Source organism: Homo sapiens, chromosome 4 (genome assembly GCF_000001405.40).
Source record: "Homo sapiens chromosome 4, GRCh38.p14 Primary Assembly".
NCBI lineage: Eukaryota > Metazoa > Chordata > Mammalia > Primates > Hominidae > Homo > Homo sapiens.
The window spans coordinates 16,936,434-16,954,222 of NC_000004.12; the positions used below are offsets into that span (position 1 = coordinate 16,936,434).

Sequence of the window (17,789 nt, forward strand, 5' to 3'; positions counted from 1 at the left end):
CTTCTTGCATAATTGATCTGAACCCCCTTTTTAATGCACTTTCCAAGGGGCAGAGATCAGAGGGTCTGTCAGATCAAAGTTCTCATTTTGTAAATGGAAGAGTGAAACACGAAGGGAGAAATAACTGGTTCAAAATTACAGAAGAGTTAAAGATGGAGGTGAGATCAAACTCAAGATCAGTGGATCAGTGTGAGCAGAAGCTCATGCCTGTAATCTTAGCTGCTAGGGAGGCTGAGGAGGGAGGATCATTTGAGACCAGGAGTTCGAGACCAGCCTGGGCAACATAACGAGACCGCCATATCAAAATAACTAACTACCTCAATGTTTTTTGTTTTGATTTGCTTTGTTTTGTTTTTTGAGACAGAGTCTTGCTCTGTTGCCCAGGCTGGGGTACCGTAGCATGATCTCGGCTCACTGCAACCTCTGCCTCCCGGGTTCAAGGGATTCTCATGCCTCAGCCTCCCAAGTAGCTGGGATTACAGGTGTGTAACACCATGCCTGGCTAAGTTTTGCATTATTAGTAGAGATGGGTTTTCACCATGTTGGCCAGTCTAGTCTTGAACTCCTGGCCTCAAGTGATCCTCCTGCCTCAGCCTCCCAAAGTGCTGGGATTCCAGGCATAAGCCATTGTGCCTGGCTAACTAAATACTTTTTTTAAAGCAATCAGTCACCTTCTTTTGGCTATACCAACCAGTCTTTTTTCCTTTTGCTCAGTTCTCAAGTCCATAGGTTATAGCGTCTGCATACTTAGAACAATAGTGTGACCGATTCTTGATGAAATGCAAGGAACTGCTTGCAGTTCCAACATCCAAAACTTTTATCCACGGAAAGTGACTGAAATGGAGACAAGCATGGACTCAAATTCTATCTCTGTTATTAACCAGCAGTGAGAATAGGAAAAAGTTTTTAAAATGCTCCAGGCCTCAGTTTACCCATCTCTTTAAGAAGGGCAACAGTAACAACTACTACTACAACTACAATAAAATTACAGAATTGAAATGCCCAACTTGAAGGTTATCCTCAATAAATATTATTAAAACTGAAAATATATATCCGTAAGTTCATTTAACAAGTTCACTAGGCTTAATCTCATTCTCTATGACACCCATAATCTAAGGCAGTGTTGGCCATTACATACCCTGCATGCTGCTTCACTACCTTGCTCTCTTCAACAGAACCTTTCCCCAGGGCAAGAAAGAATGGGAGGTTCAAGCAACTCTCTGAGACAGGTGGTAAAAAGAGTGAAGACAAGACACAAATGAACATCTCAGTCAGGCACGTTCATCTGTAATCCCAGCACTTTGGGAGGCCAAGGCAGGTGATCGCTTGAGTCCAGGAGTTCAAGACCAGCCTGGACAACATGGCAAAACCCCCATCTCTACCAAAAATACAGAAAAATTAGCCAGGCATGCATGGTGGTGCATGCCTGTAGTCCCAGCTACTTGGGAGGCTTAGGTGGGAGAATCACTTGAGCCCATAAGGTCAAGACTGCAGACAGCAGTGATCTCACCACTGCACTCCAGCCTGGGGGACAGTGAGACCCTGTCTCAAGAAAAACAAAAACAAAATTAAACAAAACCAAAAATGTCCCAACAAGCTGTTGCATTACACATGCATCATATTGTTTCATTTTATAGCTGTATGTACATCTTATACATAAGCCTCTGAGAACAAGGAATTTGTTTTATTCTTTTTTGTATCATTCAGGCACATTACATGAAGCAGTTCTTAACACGGAGCCTCACACACATACACTAAGCACCTACTACCTGCAGGCTAGAAGGAATCAACGAGGAATGAATGGGTCCCCTGTCATTTGCACTCCTGAGGTTCTGGTCCATTTCTCCTTGTGTTCTCCTTAAGCTCATTTCTGAACCAGAGCTGCCCCCTGCCTTTGCATACCCATCTGCTTCCTTTATCTATTGGGGTAGTTTTGCTTTTCTCCCTGAATCAAACCACCAGTATTCAATCAAGACTTGTTACAACACAGTCCAGCCAAGGGATGCTCAGGCAAAGAATTACCTACAGCATCTTAGCAGATCCCAGCTAAATAAAGCACATCATACATTTGACATAAAAGCAAGATTGTGACTATATCTCACCTTAGAGCAAACAGCAGGGCTTTGAGACATGAAGAAGGGTGGGAAAAATTACTTACTCACTGCAGACCATTAGGCCAGAAACTAGAAAACGAGAGCGATCTGTTAGTGTGGGATTTGACACACCAGAAGTGCCTGCTGTCAATGAAACATCCATCTTCAGATCAAACTGGCAGTCTATGAGGAAGGCTGCCAAGCCCTGCCATCTGAGTTGAGTCTCATCACCGACACTTGGGTGCTGCTTTCTCTATGACAAAGTTTCCAATAAAAAAGCCTCAGGGACTTGGGCTCTGCAGACACGTGTCTGTAATTTCTCTTGACATCTTACAGAAAGTGGAGATAAGGCGTGGCCACTGTCAGTTGAACTGAAGCAGGTCAGTCCTTTAGAGAGATAGTTCAGGGGCAGTCTTCGGTGCTTACAGGCTGGCTGGCAGCACAGAAAGTCTCCTCTTCCTGGAATCTTGCCCTACCTCACTCCATCCTGCTGGGATCATTCACTTGCCCCATTTACACTTGGTCTGCACCAGACCATTACACATTTGTTTTAGATCCTTGGGTAGTTTCTATAGTTGTTCTATATCCATAGTTAAGACTCAGTAAATCCCACCTTAGCCATCAAGGCTTTTCCCATAGCTGCCTGAAGCCCTGGCCAAGGTAACCTCTCATTCACCTTGGAGGGATGGGATATTGAGCTTTAGAGTCGGGAGAACTTGAATTCAAAGTGTATGTCCAACACTAACCACATGATCCCAGACAACACTGAGCATCCCTTTTGTACCTATGGGGGACAATAATCACATCCAGATAAAATAATGTGTGATATAATGGAATGATTGGAAACAAGCCAAATGTCTCATAAGGGCTGGTTGTATAAATTACGGCATATGCATACCTTGTGGGGAGCTTCTGTATTTCTGATGTTTCCTTTGATATGGAGGGAGCTCCACTAGAGTAACCTCTATTCCTCTCTATCCCTTTTCTTACTCTTCCACAGAAAATCAGGGGTGACTTTTCTCATTGATGAGTTTGGGAACAATCAACTGGATGTGCTTAGCCAGTCTCTCCCTCCCATGTCTTAGGAATGAGATGCTTGCAGAGGTTCTTGTTCTCTACGGGAACCACACTTGCCTGTTCAGTGCTGCCTGGGGCTGGGGAGGGAATTCTCTCTAATTCTGGGGTTCAGTATCAGTCAGTCTACCAGTCTTCAGCTAATAGCTGCTGCACCTTCATCATCAGGAATGAAGGTGATATTCATTTCTCAAATAATTCAGAACTCAGGTAAGAAAAATGGTTGCTATTTGGAGGGTCCTCCCAAAGTCCCAACATAATACCATGAAATAATTTAAGTTTAAAATAATGTAATATATGTATGTTTATTGACATAGAAAGATAAAATGATGTTCATTATAAATTGATGGCATAAAGATAATAAAACAGAAAGAATGGTATAATTCTTTTAGTTTAAAATATATATACTTATGTATACGCAACATGTAACAACAGGAAAAAATCTGAAATGACAGCGTGAACTTTTAATAGCAAATATCTTGAGGCAGTAGAATGATGGGTGTTTTTTAATATTCTTCTTTTAGATCATGAGCATTTTAAAAGAATCTACAATAAAAGTATATTCCTGAAAATACCACAGTTATTTATTTGCTAAAAAATAAAAGACATTTTCAAAATTGTCAAAAACACAAATGTCTCCCAATTACCTCTTCAGGAGTTCATTGCTTGGATTGTTAGCTCAAGTAAGAAGTAATTATATATTTGTTGGGGACCATCTGGTGTCACTGGTTTTAAATGGACAAGTTTCTACAGGCTATAAATCCCTTTGAGTTTTAGAATACTAAGGATGAAAAAAAAAAGCTCCTTCAAAATTTGAATAATGCTGTATGCTCAGTATGTGTCAAATAAAAGGGAAAGGATACAGTGATTAATAAGCAAAGCACATAAAAATGTAGAATTGTCTCTCTAGACAGCACCTTAGAGTTGCCCTGGCCCTTCCCTCTGCTTTCACCGTGGCAGCTACTGATGGGTGGTAATGGCCTTTTTCTTTCCCAGTCCATAGCTCAGTTGCATCCTCTACTCCAAGAAGCCACTACATATTCATCAGCTTTGGCAGAACAAATGACACCTTTTGCCCATCTCTCCTCTATCTGAACCATCTGTTTCAGAGATGAGGAAACTGAGACATGTGACAGTGAAGTGGCTTTCAAAAAATCACATGGCTGATGACAGACTCTGATACCAAATCTTTAGTTCCATCCAAAACACTTTTACTGAGCCCCTAACATGAGTAGATCACTGACCTAGGCTTTGTGGAGCTGGTTAGGATAGGATAGGAGAATGTATTCACATGCCTTCAAGAAGTTTACGATCTACTCAGAGTTACTCTGATGCATAAAGGAAGATCATAAAACCACATATAATGCAAGAAATTGAGGTACAAGGAGAGATCAGAGAAAAAAGGACTAATCGTGATTGGAAAGATTGAGAAACCCAGTGGTCAATCTACTACGCTGGAAAAACTGTATACTACAAATATAAACCTAGCACATAATAGGTGCTCAATAAAGGCTGACTGAAAAAATTAGTAGATAAATATTAAAATATATATATAGTCTTCAAATAATTTATATATAAATCACTTATATACAATCAAACCATTTCATTCAAATTATATTGAGATTTTAATAATTTATATATGAGTATACATACATTTATATGTAATTTATATATAAAAATAAACTTAAAAAGATATACAGTCTTCAAATCATTTTACATAATGATGACAGTTACCATAATGTGTATCAGACCCTGCACTGTTTTACATATATGATCTTACTTGATTTCTTCCAATCTTATGAAGTAGTTTATGGGTAATAGAAAATAAAAAAACAATAACAGCTAAAATTTTATTTCATGGGCTAGGTAATCGTCTGAGTGGTTTGCACATATTATCTGACTTAATTCTTAGAACAGTCTCATGAATTAGGTCCTATTATCTTTTACAAATGAGAAAATGGAGGCAGAAAGGGACTGATTAGTGGACGCAGAGTCGCCCAGCTCCTAGGCAGAGCAGCTGAGAAAGAAACTGAGGCAAACACAGGCTGTCTGACCCCATAAATCACTGGGCGCATTATACTATACAGTCTGGGGGTGGACGTACACCCTGCACGGATGTAGAGGGGGCTCTAAGACTCAGGCACAGAGAAGCACAAGCAGGCCCACAGAGGTCAGCAGTAGGGAGACCACTCAGAGACCACTCATACCTAGGGAATGGTGGGTCCTCTGGATTGTGGTGTTTGACTTCAGACCAGCAAAAAACCTTTTGTGGCTGCCTCAAAGAATAGAGGAGAGGGTATAATTCAGATCATTTCTAGAAACTGTTTATGTAAAATGTCCTTATGATTCAGTGAACCTATGATATTTCCTTTAAAATTATCCATGAAGGGCAGAAGCAAATGTGCACCCCCTTTTCCAGCTGTACAGTGGGTCTGCTGGGGCTGAGGGCCCACTTGCTTAAGCTGAGCAGCTATGCCCCAAAGTGCCACTCAAGTCAGCTGTGGAAAGAATTGATTTGGAAGTCACCTATGGCAGCTGGAATCTCCTTCTGTCACGTCCAACCTGGCAGACTCCTACATGCTTTTCCAGGGCCAGTGGACAGTGTGAGCCTGGGACAGATAGCGGCACGATGGGCTTATTCCTGAAAGGGCCACAAGTGTGCTTTGGTGTTGGCCTCAGACGACTTCTGCAACTGCCAAACTACTAATCACATGTCTTTCCAATCAATGACCACATTGTCATTAAAAGCAAGACTACCAGGCATCACTGCTATTGCATTTACTTTGAAAATACAAGGCTGGCTGTGGAATGTTAAGGCAGGTAGACCATTGGGGGATGGGAAGCATTTCCTTAGATGGGGAACTGAAGGAAGGGAAGGTGTTCTGAGGAGAGGGGAAAGCAGAAATAAAAACTAGAAAAAGGAAAGGTACAAGATGTAATGAGGAGTTTCTGAGTAACCTGGTATATTAGTTTGATAGGACTCCCATAGCAAAGTACCGCAAAGTGGGTGGCTTAGAAATTTATTGTCTTGGCCATTTTCCTCCGGAAGTGCGGATCCCAGCGGCGGTCCTGTAGCTGAGCAGGCCTGTGGCTTGGTTCTATGTCCCTGTGGCTATGTTTCCAGTGTCCTCTGGGTGTTTCCAAGAGCGGCAAGAAACGAATAAATCTCTGTTTTAGGGAGGAGCCAAGATGGCCGAATAGGAACAGCTCCGGTCTACAGCTCCCAGCGTGAGCGACGCAGAAGACGGTGATTTCTGCATTTCCATCTGAGGTACCGGGTTCATCTCACTAGGGAGTGCCAGACAGTGGGCGCAGGCCAGTGTGTGTGCGCACCGTGCGCGAGCCGAAGCAGGGCGAGGCATTGCCTCACCTGGGAAGCGCAAGGGGTCAGGGAGTTCCCTTTCCGAGTCAAAGAAAGGGGTGACGGACGCACCTGGAAAATCGGGTCACTCCCACCCGAATATTGCGCTTTTCAGACCGGCTTAAGAAATGGCGCACCACGAGACTATATCCCACACCTGGCTCGGAGGGTCCTACGCCCACGGAATCTCGCTGATTGCTAGCACAGCAGTCTGAGATCAAACTGCAAGGCGGCAACGAGGCTGGGGGAGGGGCGCCCGCCATTGCCCAGGCTTGCTTAGGTAAACAAAGCAGCCCGGAAGCTCGAACTGGGTGGAGCCCACCACAGCTCAAGGAGGCCTGCCTGCCTCTGTAGGCTCCACCTCTGGGGGCAGGGCACAGACAAACAAAAAGACAGCAGTAACCTCTGCAGACTTAACTGTCCCTGTCTGACAGCTTTGAAGAGAGCAGTGGTTCTCCCAGCACGCAGCTGGAGATCTGAGAACGGGCAGACTGCCTCCTCAAGTGGGTCCCTGACTCCTGACCCCCGAGCAGCCTAACTGGGAGGCACCCCCCAGCAGGGGCACACTGACACCTCACACGGCAGGATATTCCAACAGACCTGCAGCTGAGGGTCCTGTCTGTTAGAAGGAAAACTAACAACCAGAAAGGACATCTACACCGAAAACCCATCTGTACATCACCATCATCAAAGACCAAAAGTAGATAAAACCACAAAGATGGGGAAAAAACAGAACAGAAAAATTGGAAACTCTAAAACGCAGAGCGCCTCTCCTCCTCCAAAGGAACGCAGTTCCTCACCAGCAACAGAACAAAGCTGGATGGAGAATGATTTTGACGAGCTGAGAGAAGAAGGCTTCAGACGATCAAATTACTCTGAGCTACGGGAGGACATTCAAACCAAAGGCAAAGAAGTTGAAAACTTTGAAAAAAAATTAGAAGAATGTATAACTAGAATAACCAATACAGAGAAGTGCTTAAAGGAGCTGATGGAGCTGAAAACCAAGGCTCGAGAACTACGTGAAGAATGCAGAAGCCTCAGGAGCCGATGCGATCAACTGGAAGAAAGGGTATCAGCAATGGAAGATGAAATGAATGAAATGAAGTGAGAAGGGAAGTTTAGAGAAAAAAGAATAAAAAGAAATGAGCAAAGCCTCCAAGAAATATGGGACTATGTGAAAAGACCAAATCTACGTCTGATTGGTGTACCTGAAAGTGATGTGGAGAATGGAACCAAGTTGGAAAACACTCTGCAGGATATTATCCAGGAGAACTTCCCCAATCTAGCAAGGCAGGCCAACGTTCAGATTCAGGAAATACAGAGAACGCCACAAAGATATTCCTCGAGAAGAGCAACTCCAAGACACATAATTGTCAGATTCACCAAAGTTGAAATGAAGGAAAAAATGTTAAGGGCAGCCAGAGAGAAAGGACGGGTTACCCTCAAAGGAAAGCCCATCAGACTAACAGCGGATCTCTCGGCAGAAACCCTACAAGCCAGAAGAGAGTGGGGGCCAATATTCAACATTCTTAAAGAAAAGAATTTTCAACCCAGAATTTCATATCCAGCCAAACTAAGCTTCATAAGTGAAGGAGAAATAAAATACTTTATAGACAAGCAAATGTTGAGAGATTTTGTCACCACCAGGCCTGCCCTAAAAGAGCTCCTGCTGTAATCCCAGCACTTTGGGAGGCCGAGGCGGGTGGATCATGAGGTCAGGAGATCGAGACCATCCTGGCTAACAAGGTGAAACCCCGTCTCTACTAAAAATACAAAAAATTAGCCGGGCGCGGTGGCGGGCGCCTGTAGTCCCAGCTACTCGGGAGGCTGAGGCAGGAGAATGGCGTGAACCCGGGAAGCGGAGCTTGCAGTGAGCCGAGATTGCGCCACTGCAGTCCGCAATCCGGCCTGGGCGACAGAGCGAGACTCCGTCTCAAAAAAAAAAAAAAAAAAAAAAAAAAAAAAAAAAGAGCTCCTGAAGGAAGCGCTAAACATGGAAAGGAACAACCGGTACCAGCCGCTGCAAAATCATGCCAAAATGTAAAGACCATCGAGACTAGGAAGAAACTGCATCAACTAATGAGCAAAATCACCAGCTAACATCATAATGACAGGATCAAATTCACACATAACAATATTAACTTTAAATATAAATGGACTAAATTCTGCAATTAAAAGACACAGACTGGCAAGTTGGATAAAGAGTCAAGACCCATCAGTGCGCTGTATTCAGGAAACCCATCTCACGTGCAGAGACACACATAGGCTCAAAATAAAAGGATGGAGGAAGATCTACCAAGCAAATGGAAAACAAAAAAAGGCAGGGGTTGCAATCCTAGTCTCTGATAAAACAGACTTTAAACCAACAAAGATCAAAAGAGACAAAGAAGGCCATTACATAATGGTAAAGGGATCAATTCAACAAGAGGAGCTAACTATCCTAAATATTTATGCACCCAATACAGGAGCACCCAGATTCATAAAGCAAGTTCTCAGTGACCTACAAAGAGACTTAGACTCCCACACATTAATAATGGGAGACTTTAACACCCCACTGTCAACATTAGACAGATCAACGAGACAGAAAGTCAACAAGGATACCCAGGAATTGAACTCAGCTCTGCACCAAGCAGACCTAATAGACATCTACAGAACTCTCCACCCCAAATCAACAGAATATACATTTTTTTCAGCACCACACCACACCTATTCCAAAATTGACCACATAGTTGGAAGTAAAGCTCTCCTCAGCAAATGTAAAAGAACAGAAATTATAACAAACTATCTCTCAGACCACAGTGCAATCAAACTAGAACTCAGGATTAAGAATCTCACTCAAAGCCGCTCAACTACATGGAAACTGAACAACCTGCTCCTGAATGACTACTGGGTACATAACGAAATGAAGGCAGAAATAAAGATGTTCTTTGAAACCAACGAGAACAAAGACACCACATACCAGAATCTCTGGGATGCATTCAAAGCAGTGTGTAGAGGGAAATTTATAGCACTAAATGCCTACAAGAGAAAGCAGGAAAGATCCACAATTGACACCCTAACATCACAATTAAAAGAACTAGAAAAGCAAGAGCAAACACATTCAAAAGCTAGCAGAAGGCAAGAAATAACTAAAATCAGAGCAGAACTGAAGGAAATAGAGACACAAAAAACCCTTCAAAAAATCAATGAATCCAGGAGCTGGTTTTTTGAAAGGATCAACAAAATTGATAGACCGCTAGCAAGACTAATAAAGAAAAAAAGAGAGAAGAATCAAATAGACACAATAAAAAATGATAAAGGGGATATCACCACCGATCCCACAGAAATACAAACTACCATCAGAGAATACTACAAACACCTCTACGCAAATAAACTAGAAAATCTAGAAGAAATGGATAAATTCCTCGACACATACACTCTCCCAAGACTAAACCAGGAAGAAGTTGAATCTCTGAATCGACCAATAACAGGCTCTGAAATTGTGGCAATAATCAATAGTTTACCAACCAAAAAGAGTCCAGGACCAGATGGATTCACAGCCGAATTCTACCAGAGGTACAAGGAGGAACTGGTACCATTCCTTCTGAAACTATTCCAATCAATAGAAAAAGAGGGAATCCTCCCTAACTCATTTAATGAGGCCAGCATCATTCTGATACCAAAGCCGGGCAGAGACACAACCAAAAAAGAGAATTTTAGACCAATATCCTTGATGAACATTGATGCAAAAATCCTCAATAAAATACTGGCAAACCGAATCCAGCAGCACATCAAAAAGCTTATCCACCATGATCAAGTGGGCTTCATCCCTGGGATGCAAGGCTGGTTCAATATACGCAAATCAATAAATGTAATCCAGCATATAAACAGAGCCAAAGACAAAAACCACATGATTATCTCAATAGATGCAGAAAAAGCCTTTGACAAAATTCAACAACCCTTCATGCTAAAAACTCTCAATAAATTAGGTATTGATGGGATGTATTTCAAAATAATAAGAGCTATCTATGACAAACCCACAGCCAATATCATACTGAATGGGCAAAAACTGGAAGCATTCCCTTTGAAAACCGGCACAAGACAGGGATGCCCTCTCTCACCGCTCCTATTCAACATAGTGTTGGAAGTTCTGGCCAGGGCAATCAGGCAGGAGAAGGAAATAAAGGGTATTCAATTAGGAAAAGAGGAAGTCAAATTGTCCCTGTTTGCAGACGACATGATTGTTTATCTAGAAAACCCCATCGTCTCAGCCCAAAATCTCCTTAAGCTGATAAGCAACTTCAGCAAAGTCTCAGGATACAAAATCAATGTACAAAAATCACAAGCATTCTTATACACCAACAACAGACAAACAGAGAGCCAAATCATGGGTGAACTCCCATTCACAATTGCTTCAAAGAGAATAAAATACCTAGGAATCCAACTTACAAGGGATGTGAAGGACCTCTTCAAGGAGAACTACAAACCACTGCTCAAGGAAATAAAAGAGGAGACAAATAAATGGAAGAACATTCCATGCTCATGGGTAGGAAGAATCAATATCGTGAAAATGGCCATACTGCCCAAGGTAATTTACAGATTCAATGCCATCCCCATCAAGCTACCAATGACTTTCTTCACAGAATTGGAAAAAACTACTTTAAAGTTCATATGGAACCAAAAAAGAGCCCGCATTGCCAAGTCAATCCTAAGCCAAAAGAACAAACCTGGAGGCATCACACTACCTGACTTCAAACTATACTACAAGGCTACAGTAACCAAAACAGCATGGTACTGGTACAAAAACAGAGATATAGATCAATGGAACAGAACAGAGCCCTCAGAAATAATGCCGCATATCTACAACTATCTGATCTTTGACAAACCTGAGAAAAACAAGCAATGGGGAAAGGATTCCCTATTTAATAAATGGTGCTGGGAAAACTGGCTAGCCATATGTAGAAAGCTGAAACTGGATCCCTTCCTTACACCTTATACAAAAATCAATTCAAGATGGATTAAAGATTTAAACGTTAAACCTAAAACCATAAAAACCCTAGAAGAAAACCTAGGCATTACCATTCAGGACATAGGCGTGGGCAAGGACTTCATGTCCAAAACACCAAAAGCAATGGCAACAAAAGACAAAATTGACAAATGGGATCTAATTAAACTAAAGAGCTTCTGCACAGCAAAAGAAACTACCATCAGAGTGAACAGGCAACCTACAACATGGGAGAAAATTTTTGCAACCTACTCATCTGACAAAGGGCTAATATCCAGAATCTACAATGAACTCAAACAAATTTACAAGAAAAAAACAAACAACCCCATCAAAAAGTGGGCGAAGGACATGAACAGACAGTTCTCAAAAGAAGACATTTATGCAGCCAAAAAACACATGAAGAAATGCTCATCATCACTGGCCATCAGAGAAATGCAAATCAAAACCACTATGAGATATCATCTCACACCAGTTAGAATGGCAATCATTAAAAAGTCAGGAAACAACAGGTGCTGGAGAGGATGCGGAGAAATAGGAACACTTTTACACTGTTGGTGGGACTGTAAACTAGTTCAACCATTGTGGAAGTCAGTGTGGCGATTCCTCAGGGATCTAGAACTAGAAATACCATTTGACCCAGCCATCCCATTACTGGGTATATACCCAAATGAGTATAAATCATGCTGCTATAAAGACACATGCACACGTATGTTTATTGCGGCACTATTCACAATAGCAAAGACTTGGAACCAACCCAAATGTCCAACAATGATAGACTGGATTAAGAAAATGTGGCACATATACACCATGGAATACTATGCAGCCATAAAAAATGATGAGTTCATATCCTTTGTAGGGACATGGATGAAATTGGAAACCATCATTCTCAGTAAACTATCGCAAGAACAAAAAACCAAACACCGCATATTCTCACTCATAGGTGGGAATTGAACAATGAGATCACATGGACACAGGAAGGGGAATATCACACTCTGGGGACTGTGGTGGGGTCGGGGGAGGGGGGAGGGATAGCATTGGGAGATATACCTAATGCTAGATGACACATTAGTGGGTGCAGCGCACCAGCATGGCACATGTATACATATGTAACTAACCTGCACAATGTGCACATGTACCCTAAAACTTAGAGTATAATAAAAAAAAAAAAAAAAAAAAGAAATTTATTGTCTTATAGTTGTGGAGGCTAGAAGTTCAAGATCAAGGTGTGGGCAAGATTGGTTCTTTCTGAGAGCTATGAAGAAGAATCTCGTTGATGCCTCCCCCTAGCTTCTTGTGGTTTGCTGGCAATTTTGGGCATTCATTGGCTTGCAGATGCATCACGTAATTTCTGCCTTCATCTTCACATGGCATTCTCGCTGTCTGCATGTCTGACTCCAAATTTCCCTTTTCTATGAGGACACCAGTAATACTGGATTAGAGGTTCACTCCTCTGGTATGACCTCATCTTAATTATGTCTGCAATGACCCTATTTCCAAATAAGATCACATTCTGAGGTATTGGGGCTTAGGAATTCAGCATATGTATTTTGGGGAGCACAGTTCAGCATGTGACATTTGGCGTGGCTGGAGAATTGAAAATAAGAGTTTTTGTTTGTTTGTTTTGTTGAGACAGAGTCTCACTCTGTCACCCAGGCTGGAGTGCAGAGGCACGATCTCAGCTCACTGCAAGCTCCACCTCCCAGGTTCATGCCATTCTCCTGCCTCAGCCTCCTGAGCAGCTGGGACTACAGGCGCCCACCACCACGCCCAGCTAATTTTTTGTATTTTTAATAGAGACAGGGTTTCACCATGTTAGCCAGGATGGTCTCGATCTCCTGACCTCGTGATCCACCCGCCTCCGCCTCCCAAAGTGCTGGGATTACAGGCGTGAGCCACCACACCTGGCGAAAATAAGACTTAAAAGAACAGAGTAGGCTGGGCACTGTGGCTCATATCTATAATCCCAGCACTTTGGGAGGCTGACACAGGCAGATCACGAGGTCAGGAGATCGAGGCAAACAGATCACCTGAGGCCAGGAGTTCAAGACCAGCCTGGCCAACATGGCAAAACCCCATCTCTACTAAAAATACAAAAATTAGCTGGGTGTGGTGGCACATGCCTGTAATCCCAGCTATTCGGGAGGCTGAGGCACAAAAATCACTTGAACCTGGGAGGCGGAGGTTGCAGTGAGCCAAGACCGTGCCACTGCACTCCAGCCTGGGTGACAGAGCAAGACTCAGCCTCAAAATAATAATAATGATAATATAATAATAGAGTAGTAAAAACACCATGGTAAAAACATGTGGTGTTTGGTCTTCTGTTCCTGTGTTAGTTTGCTGATGTTAATGACTTCCAACTCCATGTCCCTGCAAAGGACATGATCTCATTCCTTTTCATGGCTGCATAGTATTCCATGGTGTATATGCACCACATTTTCTTTATCTGATTTATCATTGATGAACATTTAGGTTGATTCCATGTCTTTGCTATTGTGAATAGCGCTGCAATGAACATAGGCATGCATGTATCTTTATAACACAACGATTTATATTCCTTTGGGTATATACCCAGTAATGAGATTCACAGTAGTTAACTTTAAAGGGAAAGATTATGAGGTCTACTTTATAAAATATCTGTTATTTTAATTTTACTAATAAGCATGTAGTACTATTGGAGATCTCCTGAAAAAGTGCCCCTCTTCTTTACCTGAGACCTAAACCAATGGTGAAATATGACAAAATAGTAATGCAAACAGAGCTCTAAATGACAAAATGAAGTCCTATTAGAGAACATTCACAGGCAAGTGGCTTCCAGCTTCCCCCACCCTGCAACCTGGGACACAGCCTTGAAGGTGTGGGAGGGACTGAGACAAGGATGCATCTTTCTTCTTTGACACGCCTCACTCAAACTGAGTCATTTCTCCACCTTAAAAGCACAGACAGAAAAAATGAGATAATGGGCAGAGTAAGATCAGAGTAATATTAGACATGAGGTCAGATGGGAATGAAGTGTTTTCCCTGCCCACAGTTACTTATTTATGCTCTGAGCTATCAAAGATGTCCATGTCCTAATCCCTGGACCCTGTGAATATTTTCTTATATGGCAGAGCCACTTTGCAGATGTAATGAAATTAAGGCTCTTGAGATGAGGAGGTTGTCCTGGATTATCTGGGTGGGCCATAAATGTTATCACAAGTGTCCTCATAAGAGAGACTCAGAGAGGTTGACTACAGAACAGGAAAAGATGATGGGACAATGGAAGTCATGGGAGAGATGGAGAGAGATTTGAAGATGCTATGCTGCTGGCTTTGAAGATGCAGGAAGGGGCCATGAGCCAAGGAATGCAGGCAGCCTCTAGAAGCTGAAAAAGGCAAGGAAACAAATTCTTCCCTCAAAGGCTCCAGAAGGAACAAGCCCTGCCAGCATCTTGACTTTTGTCCAGTGAAACTGATTTCAGACTTCTGACTTCCAGCACTGGAAGGCGATACATTTGTGCTGTGTTAAGCCACCCAAGTTTGTGTTAATGTGTTACAGCAGTAACAGGAAACTAATATATAATCCTAAATATTCAATAATATGTTTGCATCTTTACTCAAAATATGTAGAGGGTTCTGCTAACTATAATTAGTACAAAATATAATCCACATCTTTTTTCTTCTTTACAATTATACAATATACTAAACTCTGCTTAAGACAATGATCTACTTTTCTCTCAAATGCGGTGAAATCTAATTTACCTGGTAATGTGGCTAATGGGAAAAGCATATCCATAAATTGTCCAAATATTGAAATATCCTTTTAAAGTGCCAACACTTGAACATTTGATCATTTTTAAATTTTTCTTAAAAGAATCAAATATTTCCTTATTCTTTTATTAAATAGGCCATTCTGAACACATTTGAGCTTTGTTTTTTTTTTTTTTTGCAATTAAGAGTCATAAATGTGACTATATAAAATAGGACCTGTGTATTCAAATGTCCTTAACATATTTAGATGTGATATACCGCTGTAGACTTCTATTTCAAAGTACTCCAAAACTTCTATGGTATCTGAATTCTTTGGTTAGATTATTCTAATTTTTCTGCCTCCTTCTTTACTCTCTGGTATAAGAGAGCAAAGCTTCTTACCCTCACAGAGTGGTATACCTCTGTGTCCCTGCTTTTACGACTGCTTTTAGCAAGCTCTAGCTTTTCTTAATTGCTGCTTCTAATGTATAACTAAATAGGAAATTAGAAAAGAAAGCTTGTAACAATAGTTTCTGAAATAAATAAGAGCTAAGCTTTCTAAGAGGCTTTCTTGAGAGTAAACTATATATCTGGCCGTACAAAGCCCCCATCAGTGAATTACCAGTATCTGAAGTGATCTGTTTTTCTGTCTGTCAGGCAATGAGCTTTCTGAAGGCAAGCACTGTATTTACTATGAAAATTTAGAAGACCAATAATTTACTGTTCACCTACTATGTGCCAGGCGTCACCACTCCTTCCCTCTGCAGGGCTATGGCACGTAGCATACATTCAGCAGAGTACATGGCAATATTTCACAATTCCAATGTTTGTAAAATGCAGAACTTAAATCATGCTTGTCACTGCATGCATCTCCCTCAAACGATACAATAAAAGGGCAGGGCATTCACCGCTGATTCCCAGGAACAGAAACCACTAACAAATGTATCTCGTTAGTCTGCTGTCAGGAGCAAGATTTTTATCAGGAATGTTATATTTCTGAAGACACCAGAATAATTTCCTCCTAATAAATTTCCATCTTATTCAGAAAAGCTGAGATTCTGCCAGGAGCTCAGAGCCTCCTGGGGGTAGGGCTCCGGCAGCTTTGTACTGCCGGATTAGATGTGTGTGCACGTCTGCGAAAGGCTGGGATGAACCCAGCACACGAAAACACATTGGGGCATTTAAAGCAAGAGCACAGTGGCACTCGTAGCCTGGGTATAGGTTCCAAGTACCCTTTTAAAAGGACCTAAAATATGATTTAATGGACTTGCTTCCCCTCCCAGTAGAGGAGGAAGTGGGTTTGCCTGCCTATTCATTCTTGCAAAGAGGAAAGTAAATATATTCCTATATTCATTTTAGACTTGATTCATGGAAGTTTGAAACACTGTTAATGCTGCATGGTTTGTATTTTTGGTTTTGTTATCTCCAGTTTGAGGTTTTCTTATACATGCTCCATTTGCACGAGCACTCATTCCAAATATGTCAAGAAAACACACCCAAGAAGAGAATTTCTGAAGGCCCTAATGGATTAATTCCTGCAAAGGATATAAGATACATTTAACTGTTTAAACATGGATGGCATTTTTAAAAACCAGATAAGAAAAAACTCAGTCTTTCTCTTCTTTCCTTTGCTTACAGCTTCTCCTCAATTCTTTAATAAACAGAAGAAGAGTCTTGGGATCCTTTTCCTCCTTTTATTGAGTAATGTTCTACTTTTTACTGATCCCAAACTATATTTAAACTCCAAATTCTTTTCTCCTCCCCCAAGAGATTACCAAGCATGCTATTCCAAACAATAGCTAATGAAATGAAGAGGAATAGCATGGCTTAAAAAAAAAAAAAAAAAAAAAAGAAATGTCATTCTAGCCTGCAAACTAATTTCATTTGTGATTTAGCCTGGCACCTTTCCCCCTAGAACTTCCCTGGGGAAAGGATGAATGGCCATCTCAACATTGCATAAAAATTAGTATCAGGCTACAAATTATTGGACCTTATTAGAGATTTCTTTTAAGTAAATTAAGGTTATAGATCACAATCTTCCAAGAGGCTTGAATGTTTTGAATTCTCCAAACTCAGAGAATATTTAAAATTTCCTGAAATCTAATAGTAAATATAATTAGAAGACAGGACCTGGTTGTTACAAACCCAGCTCCTTTTTTGTGGCACTCACATTAAAAAAAAAATAAAAATGAGATGATGGATCTTATAATTAAAAGATATTTGGCAAATAAAATTGATCACATGGTTAGCAAATCGTACATTAGGAGTGTACCACCAATTCTCTAATCTGTCAGATCACCAGGAAATTTAAAAGATGCTATTGCTTGTGTGCATGTGTGTACACATACTCACATTTGTGTGTGTGTATACTTGGATTTGTGTTTGTGCCTGTGTATTTCAAGCCACACAAGGGCTGTTCATATTTCCTCCACCCAGACACATCTATGTTTATGTTCTATGTCTTTGTTTCTTCAGTCATCAGTTTTAAGCTAAATTTTATTGCGTTTTCTGCATCTTTCAAGTAGCAAGCTGATATTAAACTCCAATGTTCA

At 41.4% G+C, this 17,789-nt stretch overlaps 2 annotated features.

Moving 5' to 3' along the window:
- Positions 4,954-5,454: an enhancer, noted in NCBI's record as "H3K27ac hESC enhancer chr4:16943010-16943510 (GRCh37/hg19 assembly coordinates)". NCBI's record gives its function as "activates a minimal SCP1, AML or CMV promoter by ChIP-STARR-seq in primed H9 embryonic stem cells {active_cell/tissue: H9 hESC(primed)}" and the evidence as "EXISTENCE:reporter gene assay evidence [ECO:0000049][PMID:30033119]".
- Positions 5,773-6,067: a silencer, noted in NCBI's record as "tiled region #8789; HepG2 Repressive non-DNase unmatched - State 24:Quies". NCBI's record gives its function as "represses a minimal TATA promoter and a strong SV40 promoter by Sharpr-MPRA in HepG2 cells {active_cell/tissue: HepG2}" and the evidence as "EXISTENCE:reporter gene assay evidence [ECO:0000049][PMID:27701403]".